A 15582-nucleotide genomic window follows, 5' to 3' on the forward strand; every position below is an offset into this window, starting at 1 on the left:
TCAAGCTAAGTGATGTAAGGGTGAGGGGCTGATGGCATTATGTGTGCTACAGGAAGTGAGTCTGTTCTAGGGATGGGGAAATAGAGATGTGGCTGTGGTGATTTCATTTGTGCCCTTGGATTTAGCTCTGTCAAAAGGATTTTGCAAACCTGATATGGTGAAATTCAGAAGTGTTTTAGTTCTGGATTATTAACAACAATAGTTCTGATAGAGCCTTAGATGCTCAAGTTAGCACACATGCTACACTGTGACCCACAATGTAACTTTCTAGTGAGAGAGTCAACATTTGATAGCTGAAAATTGATAGTCCTGGCTCCTTGTTAAAAAGCTGTGTCTTGGGCCAATCTCTTACCTTCCCTCCTCCTCCCTGTACACTGAGAAGAGAGACCTTCTAGGGCTCTTTCTAGTGGCAAAATTCCATGAGTCTATGAAATAAGGGACTTTCCACAGTCAGCTAGATAACAGGTTTAATGGTAATTTACAAAAGTGACTTATTCAAGGCAACAAAGAAAAGGTGTAAAATGAGAGATACAGGAATCCAGTGGCAAAGCTTAAAGAAAAAGCTCATATAGCCTCTCAATGTCCCAATTTGCTGATTCTTTGACCAATTTTTCTCCTTTTGTTTGCAAGGTTGAATTAGACCAATTTTATCCTCCAGTAATTTGGGCTCCTGAGAAATTCACTGTGAGTGAGGCAGAAACTGAATCAGGCAGGGGCATTATTGTTTTCTCTCAGCCCAGCTGTCTCTTAAAGGTTTAGAAAAAAAATCACACTTTTCCAGTTCCCACTTTCTAATGTGTAAAATTACTCATGATTATTTAAGATTGATATGACAAATAAAAATAAGAAAAGATTGTTTGTGCAGGTATTTGGATAAATGTAGTAAAATTATATTTGCTCATCATCTCTGCACTTGTTAGGATCACCAGAAACGCTAATAAATCTAATCCTTTAAATCTAATGGTATTTACTGATTTGTCTTAATGAAAACATGCTCAGTGGGATATTCCTACTGTATTTGCAAAGAGACTATGTTACCTATCTCTTAGCCTTGTGATCACGGTGATCATGGAAAGGCTAGTTCTTAGAAGTGAGAAATGGAAATATGAATAAAGATAAATCCTAGTGACCTATAAAAACACTGTTATCTGTTTCCTGCCATGACGGTGCTCAAGGTTGGGTGTATATAGGCCATTGAGCCTTTCCTCTTTAGAAGGGGAGCAGTTGAGAAAGGCTTCAGGGAGACACATGGGAGATGCCACAGACAGGAAATATATGAACTGAGAATTTCCAACTAAAAAGCTCATTAATAAACATGTATGAATTATTTTCTATTCATAAATACTATTCTAGGAAACTAACTTTATTAATAAAAATTTTACTCTATCAATTTTATTCTCATGTATCTTTTGATAAAGAATATTAGGGAGAAATCTAGAAATATATATAAGCATAAAGAAAACAAAATATTCCAAAATCCAGCAACTCAAATATAACTGTCTTAACAATTAGGTACATACTTTTCCAGTTTTTAAAAAAATGCCAGCACCATTTGAAAGCATTTTATAATCATCATCTCATTTAACCCTTATAGCAACTCAATGAGGAAGTTATTCATATTTTTCCCACTTTATTAGATGAGAGTCGCACAGCCCTGCCTAATTTCAAAGACTGTGCATTTAAGCACTAAACCGCCTTCGATGCATATATGTAAATATATAAATTCTATGTACATATACATATTCATAGATGCATTTATGTGCTCATTTCTACATTCCTATAAGCACAAATTTGTATAACTGTACCCTAAATGTTATAACTATATATAGTAATTTATAATTTATATTTCTCACAACATATCAAGCAAAGGTTTCCAATTAGGTCACAGGAAGCCACAGACTGAGAGATAGGAAAGGTCAACTGCTATTTGTTAGCTGTTGAGCTCCCATAAGGGAGAGTCAAGGGTACAAAATCTTGAGACGAACATTGTCTGACATGGAAAAGGACCCATGTCTCAAGCCAAGAGAAACTCCTAAGTCTGCTCAAAGTAGAAAAGTTTTTGAGCTATAATAGAATGTGTTTGGGTGTTTGTTTATTATTCGTGTTGTCTGAGCCACTTTCCCCCTTTTAGGAGTGGAAGGGACTATAAGGGAAGTCCCTATTCAGCATGAGGATTCTGTAACAAGTCCCTAAAATTGAGAAAGGTGACTCGGCAAGTAGATTTGAGATCCCTACTCAGCCCCATAGAGCTGAGCATAGTCAATGAATGTTTTATAAAAGTGATGCGTGACACCTAAGCTTCATCTACAACTCTACAAGTGACAAATCAACTTAGATCCTCACTACTACAACTCAACAGTTCACAGCAAACTAATTCTTGTTCTCTTTAAACCCTGTTACTTCCAGGTTCCCCCCTTATCCCCTTTCAAAAATCATTGTTACCACCACTATTGCAATCTATCTGGCAGAAAAATTGGGACCTACCTCTTACTCTCCCTTCTTCATTCCTCCCTCCTCTCCTCATGTAGTAACTTTACACATTCTTCCTTTTTGGTATTCTGGCATTGGTTCCTTCCTTTATATGCCCATTGCCTTGGCCCTGGTCAATGTTCTTATGATGTTCTTATAAATATTGTCATCATTTTACTATGAGCAGCATTAAGAAGGAAATAGGCCACTATTAATAATTGTTCTGGAACAACAGGTTTAAACTTGATTGTCCTGGCACACTAGATGTATGTTTACCTACTTATGCAACCCCATCATCCTCTTTCTCCCTCTCTTCATTTTTCCTGCATACTACTGCCACATCCTTAAACATAAAGTGTAAGCTTCCTGCTAAGGTTTTTGTTAAAATCAAATCCAGGCTTTATACTGCATTCAGAATAACTTCCAGATTTCTCAGTCAGGCCTTTATAATTTGGTGCCTCCTTAACCCTCTCAGTTTTTCTTCTGTGACTCTTTTCCATGACCCTGCCATTTCAATTAATTGTGATACTCAGCGTTCCTTAAACATACCAGGTATACTCCATTTACTACTTCTTTGATTGTACCCTTCCCCCTCCTCTCCACCAGAGAATTCCTATCCCTTTCAAGTCCATTCACTTTTCACAACAGCCCTAAATGCTTAACCATACTGCCCTATGAACACATATTCTACTATTTTAGTGCTCAGAATATATCATTCTATTCTTTACTTTTGTCTCTGTGTATCTCATCTAGACAAATAAGAATAAGAACCACTTATACCTAGAAAGAACTGTACAGTACACAAAGCACTTTCTAATACATTATCTGACTTGATCCTGAAAAACAGAAGGTAGCAATTACTTCTTCCAGTTTTACAGATAAGAAGACTGAATCCAAAAGGCTAAAAGATATTGCCAAGGTCACACGGTCAAAATTTCCTTTGCTGGCTGGGCACGGTGGCTCACGCCTGTAATCCCAACACTTTGGAAAGCCGAGGCAGGTGGATCATGAGGTCAAGAGATCGAGACCATCCTGGACAACATGGTGAAACCCCGTTTCTACTAAAAATACAAAAATTAGCTGGGTGTGGTGGTATGCACCTGTAGTCCCAGCTACTGTGGAGGCTGAGGCAGGAGAATTGCTTGAACTTGGGAGGCGGAGGTTGCAGTGGGCCGAGATCACGTCACTGCATTCCAGCCTGGTGACAGAGTGAGACTCTGCCTCAAAAAAAAAAAAAAAAAAATTACCATTTCTAAATTTAGTAAAATGAATAAAAATGTCAAACATTAGACAAAATATACCAACAACATTCAAACAAAGGAAGAGATACACTCTGGTAAAACCATATTTGAAAGATTGTGGCCAAGGAACGGGAGATATGACAATACAAAGACCCAAAGACCAACACTAACTTCTAGCTCCAAAGCAGTTCCAGGAGAGAAAAGCACTTCTAGGAGAGTTGAACAAATTTGGGGACAATCTTCCAAATGCCCTGCAATCCAGAGGGCAGGACTCTGAGGGGTCAGTAGGCAGTTAGAGAATAAGCTTTTTGGAGTAGAAGTCCTGGCTCACTACCACCACATTGACCCACCTAAGGTGAGAATAACTCCTTGGAAGGTGAAGCTATACCAGGAGAAGTAAGTTACATAGAACTTACTGTCTTTATCAAAAGCAAATGTTTCAAAACTCTCTCCAACTTATAGAATAATTTGAATCCAAGAGTTTCCACTGGTAAGACTGAAATATGACCTTGTCTTTAAAAAACATAGATCCCGGTATAAAATGTTAAATAAAATTGCAGAACAAAGAATAGAACCCAAATTAACCAACTATAACTAGCCATAATCTCAGTTGAGTCCTCTTCCCTACTCTCAAGCAAAAGAAAAGTCCTGGTGCTACCCAACCCACGAAGTTCAGTTCTCAGAGAAAACAAAAAGGTCTCGGGGAAGAAGCTATAAAAGTCAAGTATGATTTACAGATACAATCTTTAGAAAAATAGATGGTCTAGCTAACACTTTCCACATTAAATATGAGAAAGAAAAAAATAAATGACATAGCAACTATGTAAAGATTTTTCAAAGCATATAGGAAAGAGGAAAGAATACAAGGAAAGGAGAAAAGTATCAAGCAAATACTGATAAAAAAATACCTTCTAGAAAAAAAAACCAGTGGAGAAACAGAAAAATATCCACTTTGAATCATAAAAGACATTACAAAGAATGAATGTGATGAAAGAATAAAGCCAAAGATAAGATGAACAGATAATAGAATGACTAGAAAAGAGTGAGTTTGGACCTTCAGATACAAAATTAAGACCAAAACACCACTTTTGGAGAACTGATAAATTCTAAATACAAAGCGTCATTAGGAAAAAAAATAAAATAAAGTTGGTAAATTTTGTTAAATGCCTTTTTGGTATCTAATGCATCTATGCAGGTGACTGTATATTTTTTCTTCTTTTGCTAGTCAAAGGATTAATATTCTTAATAAATAAATATTTTACAAATAAGGAAAAATATCATTAAACGAATGGATAAAGATTATGAACAAGACTGGTAAACATTAACAACTATGTTAAAGTTATCGATGGAATAGGAAACCAAGCAATCTCAAATTTGGTTAAAAGGATTATAGCACATTTGTACCATGAAACACAAGGAGCTCATTAAAAAAGGCATTATTGAAAGGGGGAGGGAATCTTCAAAATATACTATTAAGAGGAAAAATGTAAGGTCAGAAAAAGTGTAGAAAAAATCCACATAGATTAAGAAACAGAAAAACAGAGAGAAGCCATCTATATCCTTATCATCTCTTTCCAATCATTACTAAATAATGTGTGCTTCATTTTCCAAAAGACTGAAATTCACCCATTTTTCTCCAAACACATGCTAGTCCAAGCTACTTTCACGCTAGTCCAAACTGCCTTCATTTTTCCCCTTTCACTTCTGCAACAGCCTCCCACCTGAATTCCAGCACAGCACTTCTCCCCTTCTATCCAGTCTACACTCTAACCATTCCAGGCACCCTCAGTTCCTTGAATGAGCTATGGTCCTGCTGGCACAGGGTCTTCTGCATACTTTCTTGCCTCTATCCGGAACATTCCCCTCTAGTCTAACTCAGTCTTCCATTCTTCCTTCAGATTTCAGCACAATCATCCCTTCCTCAGAGAAACTCACGTACTCTTTTATGTTGTACTTAATTTATAATTATACATTTACTTGTTTGCGATTAATATCTATTTCCTTTTGCCAGACTATAAGCTCTAGGAAAGTTGGTAATATGTGTTTTTGCTTAATATTGAATCTTCAACAAAGTACCCGGCTCAGAAGACAAACAAACAAACAAACAAACAAACATTTCAATGTCTCTTTCCCCATTTATCTAACTATTTACCTGTTTGTCCATCCCTCATCCATTCATCCATCCATATATCCATCCATTCTTTAGCTGTATTAAAAATATCTGGAAGAAAACATTAGCCATTATTAATATCTAGGGATTGGGGCTGAGGGAAGAAATGGGGGTGGGCAGATACTTGCTCTTTATTTTAAATATGTGTATTTATTTGCACATTTATTAATAGTAGGTACACTGAATAATTAAAAAATAATTCATATAACAAAACTACTACTTTCTTGTTGATGACACGAAATCAAGTATATCTTAAAAATGTCTTCAGTCTACAAAGGTAATTAGTAGTATCTTCATATCCTGTCACTAGGACTATAATCATGTCTCTGAGGGACCTGCATACTAACACAATTCTCTTTTCTTGACAACTCAATTCAGTTCTATTTCAAGTATAAATAGATCTTCTAATAAGCATTCTTCTGCGTGTTTGTATACTCATGCAAAGACATCTTTTTTCTCATTAAAGGTGTTAGAAAATTTCCCTAGGAAATTCAGTCACGTTGTCAAAGTCTTTTCACAGAAAGGAACAATGTGTAGGAAACAGATTCTCTTGATTTTGATTAATGAACAAAGGAAGCTCTAACCTAATTTGCCTTAAAGCACCTTTTCTTGATGGAACTACTAGCTCCTACCAACAATTCAAGATGGTAAATTCTCAGCAATTAGGAAAGAATTCTTGAAATTAATAACTTAAGGGATCTTTCTTGGTCTCGATTTCTACTTAACTTACCGGCTAGTATCTTTTGGTTACCTTTTTAGTTTGGAGAATTAACACAGCAGCAATATGGGCCATACCAGGTCTTTCCACCTTTATACATGGCTACTGTATATCCTTTTACTCATCAGATTTGGTTGAAGAAATGGGCCTCAGACTTCTAATTTTGGTTTCTAAACAGGGCAAGTCTGGATTTAGAATACAACCACAGAATACCTCTGCAGAATGAGCCCTGTACATTAAAAGGAAAACTAGGCCTTTTGGTATTGTTTTCAAGTTCTCTAAATTGTTATATAAGGGAGACGATCTTATCTAACCATTTATCAAATTCTGCATTCTTATGTGTAGGATACTGTTACAACTTTAAGAACTTCTGGAGACGAAGATGAGCCATGAAGTGTTATAAGAAATCATTCACAGCAAAGAAATCTCATTCAGATAACATCTAGCAGAACACTTGGGGGTGGAGCAATGGTGAAAGGAGGATAAAATTTGGTAGGGATTTGATTGTGTGAAAATCTATGACCACCTTTAGAGGACAGACATCCATAAAATCATTCACCCTCAGTATAATTTCCACCCTTAGTATAATTTACCATTAGTTTAATTAGAATGTGCCACTTCTAATTGCAAAAGTCCAAGGATTAGTCACTTGAATAGGAAGAGTTCTTATACAAGGGACCTCTGGAAAAAAGTCAAGATTACTTCTTAGTACTGTAGCACACTCCAATAAATACATTTCAGAATTTATTGATATGGAAACATTGTACTTAAAATCCATGCACCCCTGACCTATGTCAGAATAGGGGTTACATTTGGAAAGAGATATTGACTGTGAAGAGGCATAAAGGAGGTAGCCTCCTGGGTTTTGGAAATGCTCTAAATTTTATCTGGCTTATGGCTCCACAGGTACACACCCATGGGAAAAGTCATTGAGCCACAGATTGATGACTTGTGCACTGCATGAATATACTACTTCAATTAAAACAAAATTTAAGTAAAAGTATAATGGTTTTCTGAGAAAGAAGGTTAGGGAACTCTGCATTGAAGAAAGTATTTTTAATAAGAAAAACAATGCAATCTGATTGTCATTTCTAAGGTCTAATAAAATTTTATGATATAATAAGAATTCCATTACAAATAATGTTTTGCAGATGTCCTAAAGATGGGGCCCCATTAATAGCAGCAGGAGAATGAGAATGTCATTTGAAATGCTCAATTTTATTAATGATCAAATACAGACAACTGGCCATCAGCCTGCTACTTGGGAGAATAAACTACTTTGAAAATTTTTATAACAGAAATTTCTTTCCAACCTCCACTAATATTTAAAGGAGCACCAAAATTATTAAAGCATTGCCAGAGAAAATCAACTACACTGCAATTCACACACACATACACACACACACACACACACACACACGCACGGCATTTGTGCATGCTGAAGGAGCAAGGAGCAGCTGGATGTGTTGTCACACTCTCTAAGTGTTGGGGAATTGCTCCCTCCTTTTCCACCCAGCATAATCTGCCTTTAAATCCTTGAGAGTTTGGACTACATATTGTAAACATGGATCCTACAATTACATTATCATTAGAGTACAGGTAGTAATGCACACTCACTCTAGCAACTAAGAACTAAATAATATCAGATGATGGCTTAACAAATAAAAGCATAAACCCAGAAGCCAACAAATGACTGAGACAACTGGAACTACCTGAGTTCATTACCATCAATGGGAAGGCAGGTCTGTGTTCCCAAATGGAACTGGCCTATAGAGCTTCTAGAAAATTTCCAGATAAATCATCACGCATGAATCCTGCCCTTTTCCTGGAACATTTTGCCCAATCTTAAATATCAACTCCTACCCTAAACTGAAAGTTCACATACTTCATTTCACAGACCATAGCCACAGTGGCAGGTTACTTCATGTGAAATGACAGGATGTACAATATGACTTTCTTAAAAATTACTTCCTTTATCCTCTATTTAAATGTGTACTTTCATACTTGTCAGCCTACATAGTGTTTCTTCAATAACCTCAACTCGAATCCAGCCAAATCCAGCATCCACCTAAACTTCCAAGGAGGAGGTTCCAGAGTCTCTTCTAGACAGAGCCTCCTGAGGCCCACGCCTCCATTTCCACAGTCTGAATCTGAGCTCCTGCTCTCTCTACATGACATCTTTACCTTCATCTTGCATTCTCAATATCACAGACAAAAACCCGAGCCAAGGCAACAATCAAATTGTCTTCTATTTCTTTCTACTTGCCCTGTTCTTACCCTGCTTGCAAAGTGCCTCCCCAATATTTAGGGGCCTGCTCCTCTCTGCCCAACCACCTCTAGTCCCTCTATTTACCTGTCTACCCTTCACAGCCAGAGTTGCTGTTTCAAAATACAGATATTACCACTTGTTTGCTTACAACCTTCTATGGCTCCCCATTTCACAAGGAATAAAAACCCCAACCCCTTAGCTTGGTATTTAAGGCCATCTGCAAGGAAACTACGGTCTAACTTTCCAAAGTTAACCTTCACACCATGCTTTTCACCTCTCTACCTTACGTTTTAGTCATATCTCCCATATTTCCTCAAACTCAAAACATCATCATACCTTGGCAAAAACAGTTCCCTTCAGTTTGAATGCTCTCCTCTCCCATGCATATTTCAACATCGATTTCAAGTGAGAAACAGTATAATTTTGTGATAAGACACCAGAATTTGGCTTCAGGCAACCTGGTTCAAATCCAAGGGCTACCATTTTCTTGTCATCAAATCTTAAGCAAGGTGCTTAAACCTGAACAGAAAGCCTCAGTTTCTTCATATCTATACAAAGAGGAAGATAACAGCCTCTATATTGCAGGGTTGTGGAGAGAACTAAATGAGTTAAAGCACAGAAAGCACTTAACACAGCCCTTTGTACTTATTAGGCATTCATATTAGCTATTATTGTTATGGACCTTCAAGTCATCATCATTATTATCCACCTCAAGATTTTTCTGCCACATCAATTGGAATTAATACCTTTCTTCTCTTATCCTCTCTCCAGCATGCTCTCCATGGCTCTACATATAATAATTGTCAAACTGTGACACATATGATAGTTATTTATGGCTGCCTTACTTCACAGGGAGGAATATATTCCATAAACAGTTGTTGGCACAAAACCACATCTTAATCATCAGCAGTGATGGTTGTCTACCCAGTGCTTTGCATTTTTTTCCCCTCAGTTATGCCATCATTCATTCATGTCTTCCAAATCTACAATCATTTAGGCCTGCAACCTGGACAGTAGATTAAAGTCCTCACTTCCCCATTTATGTACACCAATATTCACTAAACCTTTCAGAGTCTACTCCCTTAACACATTATAACCTGACCCTCTCCAGCCCAGTTGGCATTACTTTGGTGAGCTGTTGTTCACAAAGAGTATTATAATTGTTTCTAACTACAGATTTTTAATCAAAGTAGCCTCCCAAAACAACACTTCTGATCACCCCTGTGAGAACACCTACCACCCTGAAATTGTCTGCTTATTCATCTGCATTACCAACTAAATACCAAACTTCTTGCACGCAGGAAACCTCTTTTGTTCAAAGTGAGTAGCTTGGTGCCTGGCATGCAGTAGGCTATCAAAAAGCACATGTTGCAAAAATGAGTGCATCATTACATTCCATTACAACTCTGTCTGCTTAGGTTGAAACTGTATCCTTAGAAATGCTCCAAATATGGATTGTAGGCCACACCAATATAGCTCTGAGGTTGGGTCAAGGGGTTAGGAATTCCTCAGGGGGTTTAGGAATCCTGTTCCACTAGCTTCTGTGGGAGACATACAGGCCAGCAAAAGTAGGGAAAGAGACAGGCCCAGAGACAGGATGGGACCAGGAGAAACAATGTGAGATCATCTCTCTTCTCTAGGGCATGATTGTCAGGTCAGTTCAATGTTGATTGCAACCTCATCCTTGTGTTCAGGGGCAACACAGTCCATGCAGAAAAACCTATCTACAGCTATGATGGGTATTGTCACGCACCACCCAGATCTCCTTCAGTAAGATATAACTGATTTCCCAGCTACTGAGAGGGTGGCTGACTCTGATGCATATTCCTTTGGCTGAAGAGAGCCTCCTTACCCAAAGTCATTCCCCTTCCCAAGCAACCCACGTCCAGTGATTGGTTCATGCCAAGGTATAAAGGCCCAGCCCCGTCACCCAACTTGGAACAACTCTGAAGGGCTACCAAGTTTCACTGCTCTTTAAATGTTAGCAGAGACATTTACTGAGACTCCATCACAGTCCAACTTCTCCCTCTATCCACACTCCACACCTGCTTCCTTCCCATTCCTACCACAGACAGCTATCTGAGTAAACCTCCTGCTTACTACACTGTCTCAGAATCTGCTTTCTAGAGCGCCTAACCTGTAACAGCCTGAGATAAAGCATATAGAATGGAATTTTAAGACAGCACACATCATAACCCAAAGGTTGGTCCCTAGAACTGTTTTGTGTGGAATTCATGGGGGTAAAACACTGTGAACTAGTTGCCAACATTAAAAAATAATTTTCAAAAAGCCAAAGCTCTGGCAAGAATGGGCTGGTATTTGCTCATGGCACTGAACAGCTGTAGTTGAGGGATAGTGTTCCATCTTGATGGCTCTCACTGGCTACACTGTGTGACAGTCCCTACTGGCACCCTTCATTTATTTCCTTACCTGCCCAACCCTGAGGGCATTTGAGCTGATGGTTCATGACTGATGCCAGGATTCCCATCCCTAACCTCAAGGCAGGCTACTTCCTTGATTAGCCTACTGCTTCCCTCAACAATTTATATCTCTCATCTGACTTTTCCCACAAAATGTACTCTCTGTGGGCTGGTTCTGTGTAGTAGTAATCTTGGTAGCTCTACCCTAGCAGATGCTCTAGGTTGGTGGACATAGCAGCTGTTCTAATCATGCTTGCTAAGTGAATAAAATTTTAATAGAAAACTCCCATCTCTACTTTGTGATAACTGAGTAGTATCTATTCTTCTGCAATATTCTGAAGGAGACTGTGTGACTATTTGGATGTTTGAAGATGTTTTCCTGACGCACAGAAAGAAGCTGATCTCTCCTTCGCAGAAAGCATAGCCAGCAGTGTGTTTTCAAGGTGTAGGGATGAATACAGATTTTTGGAGTGGTTGAAACCCCAGGGGTAGTAAGTAGCTCATATCATAGAATTCCTTTACTGACTGAAGTCCCCAAGAGCAAATCCCTGGAGAACTTAGCAATGCAGAGCAGGTCTTGGCTGTGCTGCCGGTGTGTAGGTAAATGGCTTAAGTAATTGCTGTCCTTGGGCAGTCAGTCAAAACGCAAGAGTTGAGACTATAAAAGGGCAAGTGCTCCCACAGAGTAAAAATTATAAACTATTGTTAGACAGAATAATATGTGACTGCTGACATTTCACCTTTTATTATTATAGCAACGCTTTAAGAAAGAAATGTAGTTAAGGTTGTCAGAATTTCATTTTAACCCCCTCCTTCAAGGCTGTTAAAAATTCACTCATGCTGAAACTTGCCTTTCAGGTTCTCAGCGAGATTTGTGCTTTGTTTTTAATCTGTTGTTCTCTAATGGAATGCAAAATGTAATTTGGGGGAAAGGGTTTTTCCAAGGATCTTTCTACAAACTGCTTCCTATCTCAATTCCCCCCCTTTTTTTTTGTCTGCCCCATTCTCTGCCAAAAGGTTAGCTGTAACAACAAAAACAACCCAAAAGATACACTCAACTGACAGAGGATTAAAGGCTTTTGGCAGTGCTTATAAAAATAGCTTCAGCAATAAGCAATACTCAACAAGCAGGAATCTGTTCAGTGGCAGTCACTAAAGGCAACCACAGTCTTGAAGTGCCATAAATGTCCACAAGAGATGCAGTTGAATCAACAGGTATTTGTGGAGCACTCACTGAATAAAAGGTAGCCAATGACAGTATAAAAATGTCTTCGTAGGTGTGACAGAGGGGACAATCTGCTAGGAAGGAGGAACCAGAGATGTCTCAAGGCTATATTTGTATAGCAAACCCACTGCTTTAGACCATGTGCTCTTGGTACTCAAAGCTCCCCATACCCCTACCCATAAGCCATCTCCCACTGATGACAACATGCCAGAGGAAGGGGGAAAAAGGCAATGATTCATTGATCAGCTACTAGGTGCTAGGCAGAATGCTAGGCACTTTATAATTATAAGGTACTGTGAAGATATAAAGAGGCATGAGCCCTCTCCCAATCCCCACTCTCCAGCTGAAACACACTTTAGGTATATTCACCGGAGCATAAGTGGTTTTCGAACACTCCTATGCTTGCTTTGCTTATCTTAAACTAAAGCAGCTGTCCAGCTAGACTTACTATGTTGATCAGCACATGACATATCAGCATATATAATATTTACTTTTGTAGACATCCCGCCAGCTCTTTGATAAATGTGTTAGGTCTTGCATGTGCCATCATTCCCATTATAGTAATCCCACAACTTGGGAAAATGCTATAATTAGCCTTTTATTATTATAAGCATTTCTGTAACACTTTCCATTTAAAGATGGCTTAACAACCAACTCTACTCTGTATGTCTCACAAGGAATCAGATAAGTCAACACTTGGTAGCTTTGCTTTATGGCCTTGAATCCTCAGGTTCAAGGTTCAAAGAAATCAAGAGTTATTGTAGTCAGCTCAGACTTAAGACCAACACAGCTGTTTTCTTTTTAGCCAGCCTCTCAGCCTGATGCCCAGCTGCTTCCCAATCTTTACTTTGTAAAAAAAAAAAAAATATATATATATATATAATATTATTTTTAAATTCTTGGAATTAAAAACTCATAGGTAGAATATTGGCCCCAATTCTCCATTTTTAGTATGAATAACTCACATCTTGGGCTTTTGCCAGGTATTGCTGGGATGATTTTGGCAGATCTAAGGCAGCCCTGCAGACAATTTCCCTCAGCTGGTGAAAAAGCAAAGCTGAATCTTTTCAGGGTCCATTTCTCCCAGCCTGCATCACAGGCAGAGTGCAGGTGCACTGTGCAGTCTGGCAGAAGGAGCAGTGGTGCCCTTGGGACAGGTGAGCAGGGGAAGCAGGTTGGTCTTGGGAAACTTCTTTGGAGAGCAATATGGCTGCTCAGGGATGTGCATCATGGCCACAAGAAGGTAAGACCCAGGTGGTTCTGGTTTCTCAGTATGGAACATTTAGCCACTGTTTTAGAACATGGGTGGTAAAATATGGTCAAAAGCATAAAAGAATAATTATAATTCAGCTACAGAAAAGGTCTTGTGGAGAGTTGTCTCTTTCTCCTTAGAGTCACCTTGTTTTATCTACCAGTCTTGAATCATGCTGTCATCCCACATTTGTGGCAATGAAAACGTTTACTCTCCTACATCATCATCTCATAATCTTTATGATACTTGCTATTAAATCTGGAGACAGTTATTCCTTGTTAAACTTAGTTTTGAAACTAGAATCTTCATGGCTCCATAGTATATGTGTAATGATTGTTCAAAATATTTTATTTTTAAACAATGGTAAATGTTGCTAATAATATTTCTGCCAGTACCAAGAAAGACACTTATCTCAGTTTAGAATATACGTATAAACAGGGCATTCATTTCCATTTAAATTCCAAACCTAATTAATTTCTATTATTCTGTTTACTCCTCTTTAAGCTTATTGGGTCAGCTGGTCCGTCCTCCATTTTCAAAATCGAATACTTCCTCTGTCCTCTCCTTTTCCCCCAAATACAACTGCCCCATCATTGTCATCATCATCACCATTATTGCTTGAGCACTTTCCATGTGCCAGAAACTGTCCTCAGAATTCTACATGTACTAACTGACTTACTCTTCGTAGCGGTAATGGGAATTATTATGGTTCACATCTTAGAGATGTGGATCCTGGCACACAGAGAGGCTACATAATTCGCACAGGGCAGCCATGCTGAAATTGGCATGCTCACAATCTGGCTCCAAAGCAACGCTACTTTCTTCTGTGTTCTACTGCCCTCATGGTGGCGACCCCGCTGAGAATTTTGCCATTTCCAAAGCACTTTTATGTGCATCTTTTTATTGAATCTTACAACTACACATAAGGTTTTGTTTAAACTGGAAACCACCATTATATTACTTCCAAGTCTGGGGAAAATATTTAACATTTTATTATGGTTTAATTTACTGAGGGTTTGGCTATTTTTTTCCCAGATGAAAATTCTAGGTTTTATCGAGAATTCTGTTTTTCTATTGATGTTGATACATATTTTTGGGGTATATGTGATATTTTGATACCTGTAGACAATGTGTAATAATCAAGTTGGGGTAATTGAGATATCCATCACCTCAAAGGTTTATATTTTCTTTGTGATGGGTACATTACAACTCTTCTACCTATTTAAAAATATACAATAAGCTATTGTTAACTATAATTTCCCTGCTATTCTATCAAACACTAGGACTTATTCCTTCTATATAACTGTATTTTTGCACCCCTTAACCAACTTAAGTAAAACTATGGACTTCACCTAAAAAATTTAAAGTTATATTCAACTGTAAGTCATCCTCAAATTACTCTTCATGGATTCTTTTCTCCCATGATAAAGCCAAGTCCTACACTTCTCAAGGGGATGTGTTGACCTCAGCAGAAACGGGGAGTGTATTTAAATGTCTTAGGCTATAACTGACTGCATTTCAAAATCAAGTATTTTAGTCTTTACATAGTTATAGTTATATGAGTAACATTTGTACTTATATGTTTAGATTTATATATACCAGGCCAAATTCCTGAAAGGATTTTCATAGATTTAGAACATATACTGCTTGGAATTTATATGTACCTCTATTCTCCTCTTTTGATATGGGGAATAAGTACTTTATTCTACTTTTTATTATCTCTATTTATACCCAGAAAGTTTTTTAAAAGGACATATATAATAATGTGACCTAATAAAAATAAATGCTATTGAATTAATTTCCCTTTTTCATGCTTAC

General features: G+C 38.0%; 1 protein-coding gene across 53 annotated transcripts in view; it reads right to left on the minus strand.

The window, feature by feature from the left end:
• THRB (thyroid hormone receptor beta) overlaps window positions 1-15582 on the minus strand; it is a 378556-nt gene that overhangs the window by 260268 nt on the left and 102706 nt on the right. The gene's annotated exons all lie outside the window — the stretch shown is intronic.

The sequence above is a fragment of the Homo sapiens genome, chromosome 3 (assembly GCF_000001405.40).
Source record: "Homo sapiens chromosome 3, GRCh38.p14 Primary Assembly".
In the NCBI taxonomy this organism is placed as follows: Eukaryota; Metazoa; Chordata; class Mammalia; order Primates; family Hominidae; genus Homo; species Homo sapiens.